Below are 22,197 nucleotides of genomic sequence, written 5' to 3'. Positions count from 1 at the left end.
AATGGGCTGGAAAGTCTTTCACTTCTGCAACTTCTGAAAGAGTCTGTGTAAAGCTTGCATTGCCTCTTCCTTGAATTTTTCATAAAATTCACCAGTAAAGGCATGTGGGCCTGGAGCTTTCTTTGTGGGAAGGTTTTAACTATACATTAAATTCAATTTCATTAGTAGATACAGAACTATTAGGATTATCTATGTCTTTTTTAGTAATCTTTCACAATTTGTATTTTTCAAAGATTTTTAAAATTTCAGTTTTCAAATTTATTAGTATAAAGTTGTTCATAATATTACATATTATCCTTTAAATATACCTAGACTCTGTAGTAATGTCACTTCACTCATTCCTGATATTGATAATTTGCATTTTCTCTTTTTTTTTTTCCCTGTTAACTCTGGCTAAAGATTTATCAATTTTATTGAGCTTATCAAAACACTAGCTTTTGGATTTCATTGATTTTTCTCTATTTTCTGTTTTCTATTTCATGAACTTCTACTGATCTCTCCTTTTTTCTGCTTAGGAGACTCTTCTTTCTCTGGTATTCTAAGGTGGAAGTCAAAGTCACTGTTAATGAGTCCCTTCTTGTTTTCTAATATAGATGTTTAGTTCTGTAAATTTCTCCTTAAATACTGCTATGGCATCATACCATAAATTCTGGTATATTGTGTTTTCATTTTTTTTATTATTATATTTTAAGTTCTAGGGTACATGTGCACAATGTGCAGATTTGTTACATATGTATACTTGTGCCATGTTGGTGTGCTGCACCCATTAACTCGTCATTTACATTATTTCTCCTAATGTTATCCCTCCCCGCTCCCCCCACACCACGATAGGCCCCAGCGTGTGATGTTCCTCAACCTGTGTCCAAGTGTTCTCATTGTTCAATTCCCACCTATGAGTGAGAAGATACGGTGCTTGGTTTTCTGTCCTTGCAATAGTTTGCTCAGAATGATGGTTTCCAGCTTCATCCATGTCCCTACAAAGGACATGAACTCATCCTGTTTTATGGCTGCATAGTATTCCATGGTGTATATGTGCCATATTTTCTTAATCCAGTCTATCATTGATGGACATTTGGGTTGGTTCCAAATCTTTGGTATTTGCTATTGTGAATAGTGCCACAATAAACATACGTGTACATGTGTCTTTATAGCAGGATGATTTATAAACCTTTGGGTATATAACCAGTAATGTAATGGCTGGGTCAAATGGTATTTCTAGTTCTAGATCCTTGAGGAATCGCCACACTGTCTTCCACAATGGTTGAACTAGTTTACAGTCCCACCAACAGTGTAAAAGTGTTCCTATTTCTCCACATCCTCTCCAGCACCTGTTGTTTCCTGACTTTTTAATGATCGCCATTCTAACTGGTGTGAGATGTATCTTATTGTGATTTTGTTTTGCATTTCTCTGATGACCAGTGATGATGAACATTTTTTCATGTGTCTGTTGGCTGCATAAATGTCTTCTTTTGAGAAATGTCTGTTTATATCCTTTGCCCACTTTTTGATGGGGTTGTTTGATTTTTTCTTGTAAATTTTGTTTAAGTTCTTTGTAGATTCTGGGTATTAGCCCTTTGTCAGATGGGTAGATTGTAAAAATCTTCTCCCATTCTGTAGGTTGCCTGTTCACTCTGATGGTAGTTTCTTTTGCTGTGCAGAAGCTCTTTAGTTTAATTAGATCCCATTTGTCAATTTTGGCTTTTGTTGCCATTGCTTTTGGTGTTTTAGACATGAAGTCCTTGCCCATGCCTATGTCCTGAATGGTAATGCCTAGGTTTTCTTCTAGGGTTTTTATGGTTTTAGGTCTAACGTTTAAGTCTTTAATCCATGTTGAATTAATTTTTGTATAAGGTGTAAGGAACGGATCCAGTTTCAGTTTTCTACATATGGCTAGCCAGTTTTCCCAGCACCATTTGGTAAATAGGGAATCCTTTCCCCATTTCTTGTTTTTGTCAGGTTTGTCAAAGATCAGATGGTTGTGGATGTGTGGTATTATTTCCGAGGGCTCTATTCTATTCCATTGATCTACACCTCTGTTTTGGTACCAGTACCATGCTGTTTTGGTTACTGTAGCCTTGTAGTATAGTTTGAAGTCAGGTAGCGTGATGCCTCCAGCTTTGTTCTTTTGGCTTAGGATTGTCTTGGCAATGCGGGCTCTTTTTTGGTTCCATATGAACTTTAAAGTAGTTTTTTCCAATTCTGTGAAGAAAGTCATTGGTAGCTTGATGGAGATGGCATTGAATATATAAATTACCCTGGGCAGTATGGCCATTTTCATGATATTGATTCTTCCTACCCATGAGCATGGAATGTTTTTCCATTTGTTTGTGTCCTCTTTTATTTCGTTGAGCAGTGGTTTGTAGTTCTCCTTGAAGAGGTCCTTCACATCCCTTGTAAGTTGGATTCCTAGGTATTTTATTCTCTTTGAAGGAATTGTGAATGGGAGTTCACTTATGATTTGGCTCTCTGTTTGTCTGTTATTGGTGTATAGGAATGCTTGTGATTTTTGCACATTTATTTTGTATCCTGAGACTTTGCTGAAGTTGCTTATCAGCTTAAGGAGATTTTGGGCTGAGACAATGGGGTTTTCTAGATACACAATCATGTCATCCGCAAACACAGACAATTTGACTTCCTCTTTTCCTAATTGAATACTCTTTATTTGCTTCTCCTGCCTCATTGCCCTGGCCAGAACTTCCAACACTATGTTGAATAGGAGTGGTGAGAGAGGGCATCCCTGTCTTGTGCCAGTTTTCAAAGGGAATGCTTCCAGTTTTTGCCCATTCAGTATGATATTGGCTGTGGGTTTGTCATAAATAGCTCTTATTATTTTGAGATACGTCCCATCAATACCTAGTTTATTGAGAGTTTTTAGCATGAAGGGCTACTGAATTTTGTCAAAGGCCTTTTCTGCATCTATTGAGATAATCATGTGGGTTTTGTCTTTGGTTCTGTTTATATGATGGATTACGTTTATTGATTTGCGTATGTTGAACCAGCCTTGCATCCCAGGGATGAAGCCTACTTGATCGTGGTGGATAAGCTTTTTGATATGCTGCTGGATTCGGTTTGCCAGTATTTTATTGAGGATTTTTGCACTGATGTTCATCAGGGATATTGGTCTAAAATTCTCTTTTTTTTTGTTGTGTCTCTGCCAGGCTTTGGTATCAGGATGATGCTGGCCTCATAAAATGAATTGGGGAGGATTCCCTCTTTTTCTATTGATTGGAATAGTTTCAGAAGGAATGGTACCAGCTCCTCTTTGTATCTCTGGTAGAATTCGGCTGTGAATCCGTCTGGTCCTGGACTTTTTTTGGTTGGTAGCCTATTAATTATTGCCTCAGTTTCAGAACCTGTTATTGGTCTATTCAGGGATTCAACTTCTTCCTAGTTTAGTCTTGGGAGGGTGTATGTGTCCAGGAATGTATCCATTTCTTCTAGATTTTCTAGTTTATTTGCATAGAGGTGTTGATAGTATTCTCTGATGGTAGTTTGTATTTCTGTGGGATCGGTGGTGATATCCCCTTTATCATTTTTTATTGCATCTATTTGATTCTTCTCTCTTTTCCTCTTTATTAGTTTTGCTAGTGGTCTATCAATTTTGTTGATCTTTTCAAAAAAGATCAATTTTTCAATTTTTTAAATAGAAACAGCATCTTGCTATGTTCCCCAGGCTTCAACTCCTGATCCCAAGTGATCCTCCCACCTCCGGAAGCATTGGGTTAACAGGTGTGAACCACTGCACCTGTCCCAGAGATTTTTCTGTTATTAATTCCTACTTCAATTCCATTTTGATCAGAGAACATACTTTGCATGACTTAAATCCTTCCAAATTTACTGAGATTTATTTTATGGCCTAGAATATTGTCTGTCTTGATAAATATTTCTCCACGTACTTGAAAATAATGTATAAATAAAACAAACTTTAGTTGGATAGAATGTTCTACAGATGTCAATGAGAGCAAGTTTGTTGACTGTTTTGTTCAAGTCTGCTGTACTTTACTGATTCTCTGCCTACTTATTCTATCAATTAATATCTTCAATAAATTATTGAAAATATTAAAATTTCTATCTATAACTTGTATCTATTTCTCCCTAAAGTTTCATCAGTTTTGGGGTCACATATTTCAAAACCATGTTATTAGATGCATAAACATTTACGAGTGTTATGGTCTTCTGGCAGACTGGCCCTCATGATACCTTCTTTATCCCTGGTAATGTTCTTTGCTCTGAAATCTACTTTGATATATTTAAAAAGTCACTCCAGTTTTCTTTTGACTAGTATTCTCATTGTATATCATCTTCCTTCCTTTTACTTTTAAGCTATTGGTGTCTTTATATGTAAAACACACTTCTTATAGTTTATACTTGGGTCTCACCTTTCACTCAGTCTGATACTAACTGCCTTTTAATTGCCTTTAGATCATTTATTTTTAATGTGATTACTGACATTGTGAGGTTTACATCTATTACTGTGTTGTTTTATATTTTTCCACCCGTTCTTTACCCCTTTTTTCCTCTTAGTCTGCTTTTTTTTTTTAATTAATTGGGAATTACTATATGATTCTACTTTATCTCCTTGGTTTGCCTATTAGCTGTCATTTTTTGATTTGCTGTTTATTTTTATTTTATTCTATTATTTAGAGACAGGGTCTTGCTCTGTTACCCAGGGTAGAGTACAATGGTGCAGGCACAGCTCACTGTAACTTCAAACCCCTGGATTGAAGCAACCCTCCCACCTTAGCCTCCCTAGTAGCTGAGACTACAGGCTAATTGGTATTTTTTTTTTTTTTTTAGAGATGGGGTCTTGCTGTGTTGCCCAGGCTGGTCTCAAACTCCTGGGCTGAAAGGATCCTCCACCTCAGCTTCCCAAAGTGCTAGGATCACAGCTGTCAGCTGCTGTCCCTGGTCCTCAATTTGTTATTTTAATAGTTGCTTTGGGCCAGGAGTGGTGGCTCACGCCTGTAATCCCAGCACTTTGGGAAGCCAAGGCAGGTGGATCGCAAATATTAGCTGGGTGTGGTGGCGGGTGCCTGTAATCCCAGCTAGTTGGGAGGCTGAGGCAGGAGAACTACTTGAACCTGGGGTGTGCCCACAATTGTTTGTGCCACTTCACTCCAGCCTGGGTGACAGAGCAAGACTCAGTCTCCAAAAAAAAAAAAAAAAAAAAAAAAAAAAAAAAGTTGTTTTAGGGTTAATAGTATATATCTTTAACTTACCATGGTCTTTCCCCAAGTGCTATTATACCTCTTTGTGTATAGCATTCTAGAACCTACAATAGTATACTTCCATTTCTCCTGATCTTTGTGTTATTGTTGCACATTTTAATTTACATATATTATTAACCCCTTGCTACTTTGTCTTTACTTAAAGTCAATTGTCTTTTAAAGAGATTCATACAACATATGAAAAAAACCTTTCAGTTCCCATTTTTAATACTGTTCTTTCTTTTGAGTAGACACATAGTTTCTTTTGGCATCACTTTCTTTTTCCCTGAAGGACTTCCTTTAACATTTCATTTAGTGAAGGTCTATGAATGATGAATTCTTTCTGTTTTTGTGTGTCCAAAAAAATGCTTATTTTACTTAAGTTTTTGAAAGATACTTTCTCTGGGTATATAATTCTATGTTGGAAGTTTTTTCTTCTTTTAGAACTTTAAAAATGTGCTGGCACAGTGGTTCTTGCCTGTAATCACAGTACTTTGGGAGGCCAAGGTTGGTGGATTGCTTGAGCTTAGGAGTTCGAGACCAGCCTGGGCAACATGGCAAAACCTCATCTCTACAAAAAACATAAAACTTAGCCAGGTGTGGTGGCATACGCCTGTAGTCCCAGCTACTTGGGAGGTGAGGCAGGAGGACTGCTTGAGCCCAGGAGCCAGAGGTTGCAGTGAGTTGAGATCACACCACTGCACTCTAGCCTGGGCAACTGATTGAGACCCTGTCTCCCTGCTGCCCCCCAAAAAAAGAACTTTAAAAATGTTGTTCCATAGACATCAAATCCATCTGCCACTCCACTAATCTGTCTGTGTCTAATATTCTACCCACTGATTTTTTATTTCAATGACTATATTTTCCTATCTAAAAGTTCTATTTGGTTCTCTTAAAAATCTTCCTGTTTTTTCCATAATCGTTTTATTTCCTTGTTGTTCCTGAAACTTTTTTCTTCAATCATTTAACATATTATGTTATGGCTTCTTTTGCTTTGTTGATCATTATCTAAGATTCTTGGTACTCCAATCATCCCGTTTGTGATATCTGCTAATATTTACTCATGGTGGATTGATTGCTTGTTAGTTTTACAATTTAAAAAAAATGAAGAATTCATCTTAAGCAGTGCTTGTTTTTGTTGTAGGGCCTTTGTGAAATTCGTCTAACTGAAAAGAGCTTGCATTGATTTCTAGCAAGTAACCGTGGGGTCTTATGGGCCAAGGACCAACTTTATGTTAATTTCTTAACATGGAGTTCCAGCATGTTATAACTGGTTAAAATTTATATTCCAAACTCAAAAGTTTTCAGTTCAGGTTTTGATTTATCGAGGTAAAATTCCATCCTCTATCCAGAGTTGGGGTCAGGAATAAATTTCCTTGTAGTCTTCAGGGCCAATTAGTGGAAAGTCTTGTTCCTCTTTTTATGGGGGTACAGTCCTTTATGAGATTCAGCCTTTTATGGAAATCTCAGTTCCAATTTTTCATCTCACTCAGGCCCTAGGCCTTATTTCTTGTCCCCAAGTGCATGTTCATACACAAGTATCTATCTCTTACTGGTTCTCCATCTCCCCAAGACAGCTGCAATGACAGATTATATGTGTATCACTCTGAGTTTTAGTTCTCTCTTTGGTTCTGGCTCATAGAAATTTTTTTATTTGTATCTCCCATGAGCCTAGTATTGTATTAAGAAGAATGACAAAAACAACACGAAGTGTCACTTTATCATTATCTCCAGGAATTTGTGGAGAATAGGTTTCCATAGTACTCTAGTTATCAATTTTTTGTAATCCTCTGTAGATAAAATGAACTTATATGAAATATTAAGAGACTCAAAGAATAATGGCATATGAAGAGAAGTTTCTAGTGATATGCTCATTATACTTATACCTGTGAGGCCAAACATTATTTTAACAAAGACATAGGAAATGGCATGTTATGCTTATACATTTAAGAAAAACACAAAATTAGTCAGAAATTAATATATTTAATGACAACTGGGATTTCTAAATATCTTGGTAAGCTGAGGTGATGGGCTAAATAAAATGAGATTGTGAATAACAGGATGTAAAGTCCAGCATTTAGGCTAAAAACAAAAATAAAAACAAGAAACAGCTTCAAAAGTACTGAAGATATAGCTTTAAAATAACTCAATACATTTTAAAATAACTAAAAGAGTATAATTGGATTGTTGGTGACATGAAGGATAAATACTTGAGGCGACAGATACCCCATCTACCCTTACGTGATTATTGTGTATTTCATGCCTCTATCAAAATGTCACATATACCCCACAAATATATATACCTACTATCTACCCATAAAAATTAAAAATTAAAAAAAAAAACAAAGAAAAAAACAAACAATTCAAGTGAGAACTGTGGAGGAGCTTGAGTTGATTGCTCCACATGGCTGCCAGAAATTCACCCTATATAAGAACAGTGCTCAGGAAAAGAGAGAAGGGAAATATAATTTTGTACTTATCAGATTACATGGATGTATTAGTTACCTATTGCTGTGTAACAGATTACCCCAAAACTTAGTGCCTTAAAACAGTAAATGTTAATTATCTCAGAGTCTGAAGTATTGGTGCAGTTTAGCTGCATGCCTCTGTCAAAAAGTCTCTCACAGGATGGAATCAAGGTGTGGAATGGAACTGTAGTCTCATCTGAAACCTTGATGGGGAGAATCTGCTTCCGAACTCTCTTACATAGTACTGGCTGGATTCAGTTCCTTGTGGGCTATTAAACTAGGGTGTCAGTCCCTTACTGGCTGTTGACAAGGCCTCCCTCAGTTCCTCAGCACGTGGGCTTCTCCACAGGGCAGCTCACAACATGGCAGCTGGCTTTCATCAGAGCAAGCACACAAAAGCACAGAGTGGGCAAACAAGGTGGAAGTTTTGGTATCTTTGTAACCTAATCTCAGAAGTGATATCCATCACTTGCCATATTCTAGGTCTAGCCCACACTGGAGGTACAGGGTAAATTCCAGGAGGCAATGATCATTAGGAACCATCTTAAAGGTTACCTACCACAGGGTATCATATTTTCAAATGGTCTTAAAGGTACCATATGATATCCCAAATATGTGACCAAGCCAATTAAAAAAATTTTTTTAAGTAATGTATTTTTAAAACTTGATAAATAATAATTGCATATATTTATAGGATACATGTAAAAACTGTTTTAAAGAATAAAGGCTCAGGTAACTTAAAATAAAAATTACAGATGTAAAATATATAGGCTGGAAAAGAGAAGTGAGAGCAGAACACTCAAGATTGAAACAGGAGACAGAAGGGAAGGGGCAGAAACTTTCACTGCTGTTTTAAAATAACTGAAAGATTGTCATGTGTAAGAGAGATTGTACTCAGTTTCTGTAGGTCCAACAGGCTAAGCAAACACCAATAGAGGAACATTTATCACTTATCACACAATGTTTTAATGGCCTGCTTACCATCCGTATCCTCTCCATGATTATAAACTGCTTATGCACAGACACTATACATGTCTGGTTCACTATTACAATTCTGTTACCAGAACACAATAGACACTCAATAAATATTTGATGAATGATATGTGAGAAAATTAAAGAATAAAGAGAAATAAATTTTAGCTCCAAATTTTAAAATAAAGAACTTAATGCTTAGAATTTTCCAAAATCACAATGGTTCCTGTGTCTCTGGAGGTACTAAAGTAGAGGCTGGATGATCATCCTCTCATTAAAGGCGAGTCAAGAGAATTGGAGGAAATGACCTCTAAGTGTTAAAAGGTCTACCTCAAACTTTCTGGTTCCACAACATTGTTAGTCTGAATAAAGAAATCCCTTCCAAAAATTGTTGTCAGATGGCCTGTCAATGTTGAAGACATGATAAAACCACAATTCTTCCCCTTGGACAACACACTCTGAGCACTTTTAAAACATTTAACCAAATACAAGATGAGTCCTATTAAGGCAGCTTTTTACTGGACCCACTTTCTAAACCTGCTGTACGTTGAAAAGCAGCATGGTATAGTAGGAAGACAAAGGCTGTGGGTTTGGGAGTCAAGCTGACCTGATCTGGCTCTGCACTTAATTAGAACCCCAGGCAAGCCACCCAACCTCATTGGGCCTCAGTTTCTTAATTCAAAACACAGGGATAACACTCACTCAAAAGGTTGCTCTGTTTTGTTTCCCTGATGATTGTAAAGTATGTATTCTCTTGTGGCAGTGAAAACCACCAAGAAGTATTTTAGAATCTGGGTAATGAAGGTACTCCTCTCACTCCCTACCTTGATAGTTTTTCACAGGAGTCATCTTGTTATAATCTTCTGACAATATAAACTCCTGTAAAAGAAAAGAAAACTATTAAACAAAAATAAATTCTTTAAGTGAATGACTATATTTGGTAAAACCAGACTGAATAAAGCGAATTGTCATGACGATTACATCCAACATTAGTATTTTGCCCATCAACTCAGAATTTTTGTACCCTTTTAAAAGTAACAATCAAAATTATGATCCAATGCAGTTATCATAATTTTACCTTATAAGTGTTGACTTTTTGTGTATGCACAAGAAGAAAACCAGATCAGTTCAGCATCTTGATACCGGTCGATTCTGAAGATAAACCTAATTCAAAATATTTTTCTTTCAAGGGTGCCACAGCTAAAAATTTGCAAGGCTCTAACCAGTAAGGAAATGGATAGCATTTCTGCTAAAGAAATAAATTAGATATTTTAAAGATTATTTTTCTAAGATTAGTAATTTATTTCCCCTTACTTACTATAAGCATCTGAAGGTTGCATCTTACTCATCCCTGTATCCCCAGGACACCGGGCACAGTACCTTGGCACAGTAGGTAATTAATAATGGTCACACAAAAGCACTTCTCAATGTAATGAGATTAGTCTGAATGTCAAATTTACTGAAAAAATCAGTTTCTGTATCGCGCATTATATATACCCTTGGTGGGGACACATAAGTGTCTGTTGTTTCACCCATGCATCTGCGTATACAGTGACCTGTATGTAGAAGCTGATTGTTTATGAGATCCAGCCAGGTTTTGAGTCCTTAGACTTCATTCAAAAGCAAAATATCCAGGTATTCTTTAAGAGTATATTATAAAACATAAGGAAAGCTGCAAAGTATAATAAATTGATGCCTTCATCTGAGTTTAGAAACAACGCAATTAATCTTTTCAAAATATTTGGAAGCATACAGGATTTTTCTTTGATAACTTAAAAAAAGGGGGATGGGAAGACAGACACCTAAATGCCTTACTTGCTATCCGGGTCTTCCTGAGTTTAGCAGTTTGTGTAATTTTTTAGAAGGAAATATTATTTTATTGTGATAAACATCACAAAGGTAAAGTAGGAGATGATGTGAGAGAATATACAAAGCAATAAAGTTCCTTTGCTTATTCATTTTTCCATTCCAGCCCCCTTTAAGAAGCTTATCTACAAATGAATTTTCTTCACCATGATTTTCTCAGTAATAACATTATTCAACTTGTCACTTTAAAAATTCATATCATTATTTCTTCAAGGAGTGGCACTACATCCACTTCTTGTTTTGGAAGAGTTAGACCTACAATTGGACACAGCAGACTAATTTTTTTTCTTTTTTTTTTTTGACAGAGTCTTGCTCTGTTGCCTGGTTGGAGTGCAGTGGCGCGATCCTGGCTCACTGCAACCTCTGCCTCCCAGGTTCAAGTAATTCTCCTGCCTCAGCCTCCCTAGTAGCTGGGATTATAGGTGCATGCCACCATGTGCAGCTAATTTTGGTATTTTTAGTAGACATGGGGTTCCACCATGTTGGCCAGGCTGGTCTTGAACTCCTGACCTCAGGTGATCCGCCCACCTCGGCCTCCCAAAGTGCTGGGATTACAGGTGTGCACCACCGCACCTGGCCAGAGCAGACTAATTTTTAAAGAAGTAAAGTAGCTGGCCTATAAAGTGCTTATAGTGTGGGTAAGGAAACCTGGGAGGTGCCTAAGCAACAATTCACTAGCAACTTTTAATCACAGGCAACAGGACCTTGACCCTGACCCCCAACTTTACAGGGTCCCAAATATCGTGACACATACACAAATAAATTTATTGAAGACAATTGTTATCTGGCCAAGTGTTTTCTGAGTTCATATTGTTCATATTATTTTGAATATACTGAAATGGTTCTCTGACCTGGTCAAAAGATACCTCAATTCCTTTCAAAACAATGTAAGGTATAAAATAACACAACGTAATAGAGGTTTGCATTTAGGATTTAATATATACATTAAAAATAAAATTACCAGTTCACTGCATTGGTAAACCTAATTTCTTGGTCATTTATTTTTCCTATGATAATAAAAACATATAATTATGGAGAAAATTTAGATTTTGTCAGCTTTTGTTATTACTTTTTTTTTTTTTTTTTTTGAGATGGAATCTTGCTCTGTCACCCAGGCTGGAGTGCAGTGGCGTGATCTTGGCTCACTGCAACCTCCACCTCCTGGGTTCAAGTGATTCTCCTGCCTCAGCCTCCTGAGTAGCTGAGACTACAGGTACATGCCACCATGCCTGGCTAATTTTTGTATTTTTAGTGGAAACAGGGTTTCACCATGTTGGTCAGGCTGGTCTGGAACTCCTGACCTCGTGATCCGCCTGCCTCGGGTTCCCAAAGTGCTGGGATTACAGGCGTGAGCCACCACACCCAGCCTTGTTATTACTTTTTTGATCATAGAAACACAATATACTACTCTAAGAAATGTAAGAAAAATAAACACTAAAAATCCCTTGTGATACCATTTCTCAAAGATAAGTATTATGGAACGTACAGTTGTAATAATGTATAATAAAACAAAACATTAAAACTACTTGGCAATGCTGTTTTCTTTTCACAGTTCATGCATGCAATTCCACATGAGTACATACTCATCAACTTCATTCTTTTTGATGACTGTATAGGATGTAGTATAACATTCTTTTTTTTGAGACAGAGCTTCGCTCTTGTTGCCCAGGCTGGAGTGCAATGGTGCGATCTTGGCCCACCGCAACCTCCGCCTCCTGGGTTCAAGCGATTCTCCTACCTCAGCCTCCCGAGTAGTTGGGATTACAGGCATGCGCCACCACGCCTGGCTAATTTATTGTATTTTTAGTAGAGACAGGGTTTCCCCATGTTGGTCAGGCTGGTCTTGAACCCCCGACCTCAGGTGATCTGCCTGTCTCAGCCTCCCAAAGTGCTGGGATTACAGGCATGAGCCACCACGCCTGACCATAATATTACTTTAATATTCCTTTATTGATGAATCTTTGTTTCTAGTTTTCCTTACTGAAAATATTACATTAAATGCATTATATCTTTATATGTCTCCAGCAGTATTTCTATAAAATAAAAGTCCGAGAAGAATTGTTGGATCAGAGAGTATGACCATTGAAATTTTGATAGACATGGCCAAATTGAGTTTTTAAAAGATTTTATCTGTTAATACTCACGAACAATTAAAATGTAAAGGTTTGGCTGCAATTACTTTGTTAGGATTGACCAACCAAAGTTCAAAAGAAATTAGATCAAAGATATACACATTTGAAATATTTTGGATAAAATAGTTTCTATTCCTTCTTTTTTTATTATTTCTATCCTTCCTTCTTTCCATTCAGCTGTCCACCCATCTATCACTTAGTTTTTAATGCTCACTGTAATACATCAAACAATATAGGATATACAAGCAAAAAGCTAACAACTGTCTTCACCTTCAATCTCACCCTTGTGAGGCAACCAATGTTAACGGTCTGGCGTATCCCTCCATGTCTTTTTTTTAAACCCTTATACAAACATATATGAACATATATACTTTTTTTGTTGTATAAAAACAGGATCACATTATAGATATTATTCTGTAACTTTCTGTTTTCACCCAAAATACAGCAGAGCACTATTTTCCAGAAGCACGTAGTTCTAACTTATTCTTTCTGATGGCTGTATAATATTCCATAAAATGGATATGCCAAACTTTATTCAAGTACTTCACATTTTAAGTGGACATTCCATTTGTCTGCTATAATTTACAATTATAGCAATACTTTGAGAAAGGTCTTTGCAAGTATATCCATATGAACTAATGTCTATGTAGAAGATATGCTGGCTCAAATATTATGTACATTTAATGTCTTAATAAACACCGCTAGATTACTTTCCAGGAAGCATGCAGCCATGCACTCTCTCACCTACCCCCATCTTCATTTGACAGCTTATTTTCCCACATCTTATCAGCATTGGACACTATTCATCTTTTCAATTTTTGCCAAACTGATGTGTGAAACAAGAGGGTATCTCATTGTGGTTTATGTTCATTACACTATGAGCTGGATAACTTTTTGGTTATTGGCTATTTTCATTCATTTCTTGTTTTATGAATTTTCTGTTCAAATTCTGCTGTAGCCTGGTTCTCTGAAAAACAGCGTGAAGCAAAGCGTAAGTCTAATGCTTTATTTGAAGGTGCAATATCGGCAGCAGTGAGGGTAAAGCAAAGCAAAGCGGAGAAAGACGGTGATGCATTACCAAGCTCGCCTGAGTTTCACAAGATGCCCAGCTGCTTCTCCAGCATTCAGGAAGTCTCTGGACAGACAGAAGTGAAACACCAGGTTTTGGAAAAATCCACTGAAGGAAGGGATGGAGAGGGAATTTATCTGCCAGCTGTCTCCCATATCCCTTTGCATTTTAATCATAGCTCCACATGAATCTAATTTCTCCCTCCGTGTAGAAAGTTGTACCACCTAGCCCTGTTGCAGCCACTGGGGAAGTCAGATCTGTGGCCTTGCAGAGCTGTGCTTCATGTAATTCAGAAGTAGCAGGGGAACCAGATCCTCTGGGCTTTGGCCTCAGGGTGGAACAAGGTGCCAAGAGAGCCCAGGAAACAAGTACAATCAAGAAAATCTGAGGCAGTATATATGATGTGGTCCAGGCATATCCTTTGGTTCTTTTTGTCTATTGCATTTGTAACTGTCTTACTAAATTGTAGAAATTCTTTGATTATTAGGGATAGTTATCCTTTGTTTAATATGTGAATTGACAGTATTTTCTCTCCTAATAGTCTGCCTTTGAATTTTATCAAATCTTTCGTAGTACTGAAATGTTTTATTTTTTTTACTTAACAAACAACCATGGCATTATGAGTTAAAATTGCATTATATCTTTTAAGTTTTAATTTGGGAAGGAATAATATTTTAACTGTAATATACTCAAGTACTTATATACAATTTTTCCTTAATAGTTTAAATGGCATTTCTCCCAACCCCATTTCAATTTTCAATGAATTACTTCTCGCACATAATGAAAATAGCTCTTGGTTTTGGGATACACGTGTATTAATAGCATTAGTATGCTATTGCAGCATTTAACACCGTATTTGTTGTTGACTTACCTAAACCCTGACCAAGATTAGGTAATCACTGCTATTTTAGTTTTATCTGGAATTTTTAAGAGTAGCTGCCAAATTTAATTAAATTGAATGGAATTTGCTTTTGATATCTATTAAACAAAATTTGTTAAAATCCTTCAATTTATAAAAGTAATTGATTATTGTTAAACAGTTTTCTGATATTGACCCATTCTTAACTTCTTGAAAGAATTCAAACTTGCCCTGATGTATTCTTCCTTTGATACACTACTGGATTTGATATGCTAATATTCAATAAGAATTTTTACATATACATTTAAGATTATTATTGGTCTATAGTTTTCCATTTTGGTGCTATCTTCATTGGGTTCTGGTTTAAAGATAGCAAAGCACGGTGCTTAAGAGCTTGGGCACTGGAACCAAATTGTCCAGTTTAAATCCGAGCTAAAACACATACTTGTTAAATGATCTTGACAAGTTGCTCAAGAGCTCTGTGCTTCACTTTCCTTTTGTGTACTAGCCTCATAAGACTGTATGAGGACTGAGTTATTATTTATAAAGCATTTTAAAGCAGTGCCTGTCACATAATAAGTACTCTATGAGAGCTAATTTAAAAAAATGGATTAAGAAGCTTTTCTTTAAATCTTTTGGAAGATATTGAACAATTATAATTGAAGAATTAGAATTCAGCTTCTTAAGCTTTTCCCCGTGTATACACAGAAACACATACAATTGGAATAGTAGTACTACTGATGATGTTTTGTAGCTCTCCTTTTTAACTTAACACTATTAGATGGGCATTTCTCATGTCACTACCTATTTTTTGAAACAGTGAATTTTAATGGCTACGTAATATCCCATTGGAAGGCAATAAAGAATTTTACCTAATTAGTCTTTAACTGTTACATTTCATTTTTTTTTTTTTTTTGAGGCAGGATCTTGCTTTGTCACCCAGGCTGGAGTGTAGTGGCATGAACACAGCTCACTGCAGCCTCAACCTCCTAAGCTCAAATGATCATCCCACCTCAGCCTCCTGAGTAGCTGGGACTACAGGCACAAGCCACCACACATGGCTAATTTTTGTATTTTTTGTAGAGATGGCGTTTTACCACGTTACCCAGGCTGCTCTTGAACTCCTGAGCTCCAGCAATCTGCCTGCCTCAGCCTTCCGAAAGTGCTGGGATTATAGGCGTGAGTCACTGCATCCAGTCTGTTACATTTCTAAGACACCAATGTTTTATTATTATAAAAACAGGAATATCCTTATGAATAATCTTTGTGTATATTTATGATTATTTTCTTTGGATGGTTTTCTAGAAACAAAACTATTGACATAAAGGAAAAATATTTCTAAAGCTCTGAATATTACCAATATTTTTTCTAAACAGTTTGTGCCAATTTATGTCCTTTCCATTAGTATTCTAGAGTGCCTACTTTATTTAATTCTAGCTGATAAGTATATTCTAAAATTACTACAACTTAGATAAAAATAGAATTAAAACATTTTAACACCTTAAAATGTTTACTGGCCCTTAGTATTTCCTCTTTCATGACTTTTCTATCCACAGGATTTTATTGTTTTTCTTATCTATTTGCATACGATTGTCATGGACTGAGGATATTTTCCTTTCTCTGTCATATTCCACGGAACTATTTGTTGCTTTTAAAAAACTGTATTTAAGTAGATTCTCTTAATGCTGGGAAGTTCTGCATTTTATGTAGTTAAATAAAATAATATTTTCGTTTATGACTTCCATTCTTTTAAGCTTACAACATTCTTCTTGATAGATTGTTTATAAATGTCCAGTAAACTGACTTCTAGTTTTTCTTTTTCTTTTTTAAGGCTTTACTTACATGTAATGATGCTTCATGCTCCTGGAATTAATTTTGGTATAAGACAAGAGGTGCGAATTAAAATCGATCTTTTTCTTAAAAGCAAACCAACTGCTCCAGCACCATTTGTTTAATAACTTTTCCCATTCACACTGACTTGTGGTCATCTTTACCACATTTTATTTGCTTTCAATGAACTGAGTCTGTTTGGGGGTTCTCCAACCCTGTTTTATTCCTTTGCCGGAACCAAAATGATTTAATTATAGTAGATACAACTTATATGTTAATATAAAGGCTATGTGCTCCTAAATTCTTTTCTTAAAGAAAAATGTAGCTAGATGAACATAAATAATCTTTTTAATAGCAAAAAAGAAAAATCACATTTACAATTTTGATTGGGGGCTGGAGCCAAGATGGCCAAAAAGGAACAGCTCTGGTCTACAGCTCCCAGCGTCAGCGATGCAGAAGATGGGTGATTTCTGCATTTCCATCTGAGGTACTGGGTTCATCTCACTAGGGAGTGCCAGACAGTGGGTGCAGGATAGTGGGTGCAGCACACCCTGCACTAGCCAAAGCAGGGCGAGGCATTGCCTCACTCGGGAAGCGCAAGGGGTCAGGGAGTTCCCTTTCCCAGTCAAAGAAAGGGGTGACAGACAGCACCTGGAAAATCGGGTCACTCCCACCCCAATACTGCACTTTTCCGATGGGCTTTAAAAACGGCCCACCAGGAGATTATATCCCGCACCTGGCTCGGAGGGTCCTACGCCCACAGTCTTGCTGATTGCTAGCACAGCAGTCTGAGATCAAACTGCAAGGCGGCAGCAAGGCTGGGGGAGGGGCACCCACCATTGTCCAGGCTTGCTTAGGTAAACAAAGCAGCCCGGAAGCTCCAACTGGGTGGAGCCCACCACAGCTCAAGGAGGCCTGCCTGCCTCTGTAGGCTCCACCTCTGGGGGCAGACAAACAAAAAGACAGCAGTAACCTCTGCAGACTTAAATGTCCCTGTCTGACAGCTTTGAAGAGAGCAGTGGTTCTCCCAGCACACAGCTAGAGATCTGAGAACAGGCAGACTGCCTCCTCAGGTGGGTCCCTGACCCCTGACCCCCGAGCAGCCTAACTGGGAGGCACCCCCCAGTAGGGGCAGACTGACACCTCACACAGCTGGGTACTCCTCTGAGACAAAACATCCAGAGGAATGATCAGACAGCAGCATTCCCGGTTCATGAAAATCCGCTGTTCTCCAGCCATCGCTGCTGGTACCCAGGCAAACAGGGTCTGGAGTGGACCTCTAGCAAACTCCAACAGACATACAGCTGAGGGTCCTGTCTGTTACAAGGAAAACTAACAAACAGAAAGGACATCCACACCAAAAACCCATCTGTACATCACCATCATCAAAGACCAAAAGTAGATAAAACCACAAAGATGGGGAAAAAACAGAGCAGAAAAACTGGAAACTCTAAAAAGCAGAGCGCCTCTCCTCCTCCAAAGGAACGCAGCTCCTCACCAGCAACGGAACAAAGCTGGACGGAGAATGCCTTTGACGAGCTGAGAGAAGAAGGCTTCAGACGATCAAACTACTCCAAGCTACAGGAGGAAATTCAAGCCAAAGGCAAAGAAGTTGAAAACTTTGAAAAAAATTTAGACGAATGTATAACTAGAATAACCAATATAGAGAAGTGCTTAAAGGAGCTGATGGAGCTGAAAGCCAAGGCTTGAGAACTACGTGAAGAATGCAGAAGCCTCAGGAGCCGATGCGATCAACTGGAAGAAAGGGTATCAGTGATGGAAGATCAAATGAATGAAATGAAGTGAGAAGGGAAGTTTAGAGAAAAAAGAACAAAAAGAAACGAACAAAGCCTCCAAGAAATATGGGACTATGTGAAAAGACCAAATCTACGTCTGATTGGTGTACCTGAAAGTGACGGGGAAAATGGAACCAAGTTGGAAAACACTCTGCAGGATATTATCCAGGAGAACTTCCCCAATCTAGCAAGGCAGGCCAACATTCAGACTCAGGAAATACAGAGAACGCCACAAAGATACTCCTCAAGAAGAGCAACTCCAAGACACATAATTGTCACATTCACCAAAGTTGAAATGAAGGAAAAAATGTTAAGGGCAGCCAGAGAGAAAGGTCGGGTTACCCACAAAGGGAAGCCCATCAGACTAACAGCGGATCTCTGGGCAGAAACTATAAGCCAGAAGAGGCTGGGGGCCAATATTCAACATTCTTAAAGAAAAGAATTTTCAACCCAGAATTTCATATCCAGCCAAACTAAACTTCATAAGTGAAGGAGAAATAAAATACTTTACAGACAAGCAAATGCTGAGAGATTTTGTCACCACCAGGCCTGCCCTAAAAGAGCTCCTGAAGGAAGCACTAAACATGGAAAGGAACAACCAGTACCAGCCACTGAAAAATCATGCCAAATTGTAAAGACCATCAAGGCTAGGAAGAAACTGCATCAAGTAACGGGCAAAATAACCAGCTAACATCATAATGACAGGATCAAATTCACACATAAAAATATTAACTTTAAATGTAAATGGACTAAATGCTCCAATTAAGAGACACAGACTGGCAAATTGGATAAAGAGTCAAGACCCATCAGTGTGCTGTATTCAGGAAACCCATCTCACGTGCAGAGACACACATAGGCTCAAAATAAAAGGATGGAGGAAGATCTATCAAGCAAATGGAAAACAAAAAAAGGCAGGGGTTGCAATCCTAGTCTCTGATAAAACAGACTTTAAACCAACAAAGATCAAAAGAGACAAAGAAGGCCATTACATAATGGTAAAGGGATCAATTCAACAAGAAGAGCTAACTATCCTAAATATATATGCACCCAATACAGGAGTACCCAGATTCATAAAGCAAGTCCTGAGTGACCTATAAAGAGACTTAGACTCCCACACAATAATAATGGGAGACTTGAACACCCCACTGTCAACATTAGACAGATCAACGAGACAGAAAGTTAACAAGGATACCCAGGAATTGAACTCAGCTCTGCACCAAGCAGACCTAATAGACATCTACAGAACTCTCCACCCCAAATCAACAGAATATACATTTTTTTCAGCACCACACCACACCTATTCCAAAATTGACCACATAGGTGGAAGTAAAGCTCTCCTCAGCAAATGTAAAAGAACAGAAATTATAACAAACTGTCTCTCAGACCACAGTGCAATCAAACTAGAACTCAGGATTAAGAAACTCACTCAAAACGGCTCAACTACATGGAAACTGAACAACCTGCTCCTGAATGACTACTGGGTACATAACGAAATGAAGGCAGAAATAAAGATGTTCTTTGAAACCAATGAGAACAAAGACACAACATACCAGAATCTCTGGGACACATTCAAAGCAGTGTGTAGAGGGAAATTTATAGCACTAAATGCCCACAAGAGAAAGCAGGAAAGATCCAAAATTGACACCCTAACATCACAATGAAAAGAACTAGAAAAGCAAGAGCAAACACATTCAAAAGCTAGCAGAAGGCAAGAAATAACTAAAATGAAGGAAATAGAGACACAAAAAAACCTTCAAAAAATTAATGAATCCAGGAGCTGGTTTTTTGAAAGGATCAACAAAATTGACAGACCACTAGCAAGACTAATAAAGAAAAAAAGAGAGAAGAATCAAATAGACGCAATAAAAAATGATAAAGGGGATATCACCACCAATCCCACAGAAATACAAACTACCATCAGAGAATACTACAAACACCTCTACACAAATAAACTAGAAAATCTAGAAGAAATGGATAAATTCCTCAACATATACACCCTCACAAGACTAAACCAGGAAGAAGTTGAATCTCTGAATAGACCAATAACAGGCTCTGAAATTGTGGCAATAATCAATAGCTTACCAACCAAAAAGAATCCAGGACCATATGGATTCACAGCCGAATTCTACCAGCGGTACAAGGAGGAACTGGTACCACTCCTTCTGAAACTATTCCAATCAATAGAAAAAGAGGGAATCCTCCCTAACTCATTTTATGAGGCCAGCATCATCCTGATACCAAAGCCAGGCAGAGATACAACCAAAAAAGAGAATTTTAGACCAATATCCTTGATGAACATTGATGCAAAAATCCTCAATAAAATACTGGCAAACCGAATCCAGCAGCACATCGAAAAGCTTATCCACCATGATCAAGTGGGCTTCATCCCTGGGATGCAAGGCTGGTTCAATATACGCAAATCAATAAATGTAATCCAGCATATAAACAGAACCAAAGAGAAAAACCACATGATTATCTCAATAGATGCAGAAAAGGCCTTTGACAAAATTCAACAGCCCTTCATGCTAAAAACTCTCAGTAAATTAGGTATTGATGGGACGTATTTCAAAATAATAAGAGCTATCTATGACAAACCTACAGCCAATATCATACTGAATGGGCAAAAACTGGAAGGATTCCCTTTGAAAACTGGCACAAGACAGGGATGCCCTCTCTCACCACTCCTATTCAACATAGTGTTGGAAGTTCTGGCCAGGGCAATTAGGCAAGAGAAGGAAATAAAGGGTATTTGATTAGGAAAAGAGGAAGTCAAATTGTCCCTGTTTGCAGATGACATGATTGTATATCTAGAAAACCCCATTGTCTCAGCCCCAAATCTCCTTAAGCTGATAAGCAACTTCAGCAAAGTCTCAGGATACAAAATCAATGTACAAAAATCACAAGCATTCTTATACACCAATAACAGACAAACAGCCAAATCATGAGTGAACTCCCATTCACAATTGCTTCAAAGAGAATAAAATACCTAGGAATCCAACTTACAAGGGATGTGAAGGACCTCTTCAAGGAGAACTACAAACCACTGCTCAACGAAATAAAAGAGGACACAAACAAATGGAAGAACATTCCATGCTCATGGGTAGGAAGAATCAATATCGTGATAATGGCCACACTGCCCAAGGTAATTTATAGATTCAATGCCATCCCCATCAAGCTACCAATGACTTTCTTCACAGAATTGGAAAAAACTACTTTAAAGTTCACATGGAACCAAAAAAGAGCCCGCATCGCCAAGTCAATCCTAAGCCAAAAGAACAAAGCTGGAGGCATCACACTACCTGACTCCAAACTATACTACAAGGCTACAGTAACCAAAACAGCATGGTACTGGTACCAAAACAGAGATATAGATCAATGGAACGGAACAGAGCCCTCAGAAATAATGCCACATATCTACAACTATCTGATCTTTGACAAACCTGAGAAAAACAAGCAATGGGGAAAGGATTCCCTATTTGATAAATGGTGCTGGGAAAACTGGCTAGCCATATGTAGAAAGCTGAAACTGGATCCCTTCCTTACACCTTATACAAAAATTAATTCAAGATGGATTAAAGACTTAAACGTTAGACCTAAAACCATAAAAACCCTAGAAGAAAACCTAGGCATTACCATTCAGGACATAGGCATGGGCAAGGACTTCATGTCTAAAACACCAAAAGCAATGGCAACAAAAGACAAAATTGACAAACGGGATCCAATTAAACTAAAGAGCTTCTGCACAGCAAAAGAAACTACCATCAGAGTGAACAGGCAACCTACAAAATGGGAGAAAATTTTCGCAACCTACTCATCTGACAAAGGGCTAATATCCAGAATCTACAATGAACTCAAACAAATTTACAACAAAAAAACAACCAACCTCATCAAAAAGTGGGTGAAGGACATGAACAGACACTTCTCAAAATAAGACATTTATGCAGCCAAAAAACACATGAAAAAATGCTCACCATCACTGGCCATCAGAGAAATGCAAA

At 37.7% G+C, this 22,197-nt stretch overlaps 1 protein-coding gene across 9 annotated transcripts in view; it reads right to left on the bottom strand.

The window, feature by feature from the left end:
- WDFY2 (WD repeat and FYVE domain containing 2) overlaps positions 1-22,197 on the bottom strand; it is a 183,248-nt gene that overhangs the window by 54,588 nt on the left and 106,463 nt on the right. For all 9 annotated transcript variants that reach the window (XR_007063659.1, XR_941483.2, NM_052950.4 and 6 more), the window contains one exon: positions 9,472-9,526. Coding sequence is in view for 7 of the 9 variants with exons in the window: in NM_052950.4 (NP_443182.1) it covers positions 9,472-9,526 (55 nt within the window). In the remaining 2 variants the exon portion in view is untranslated. The remainder of the gene's footprint in view (positions 1-9,471; positions 9,527-22,197) is intronic.

The sequence above is a fragment of the Homo sapiens genome, chromosome 13, assembly GCF_000001405.40.
Source record: "Homo sapiens chromosome 13, GRCh38.p14 Primary Assembly".
Classification (NCBI taxonomy): Eukaryota; Metazoa; Chordata; class Mammalia; order Primates; family Hominidae; genus Homo; species Homo sapiens.
Note: the sequence above shows the minus strand (reverse complement) of the source record. Positions and strands in the feature narration are given on the sequence as shown.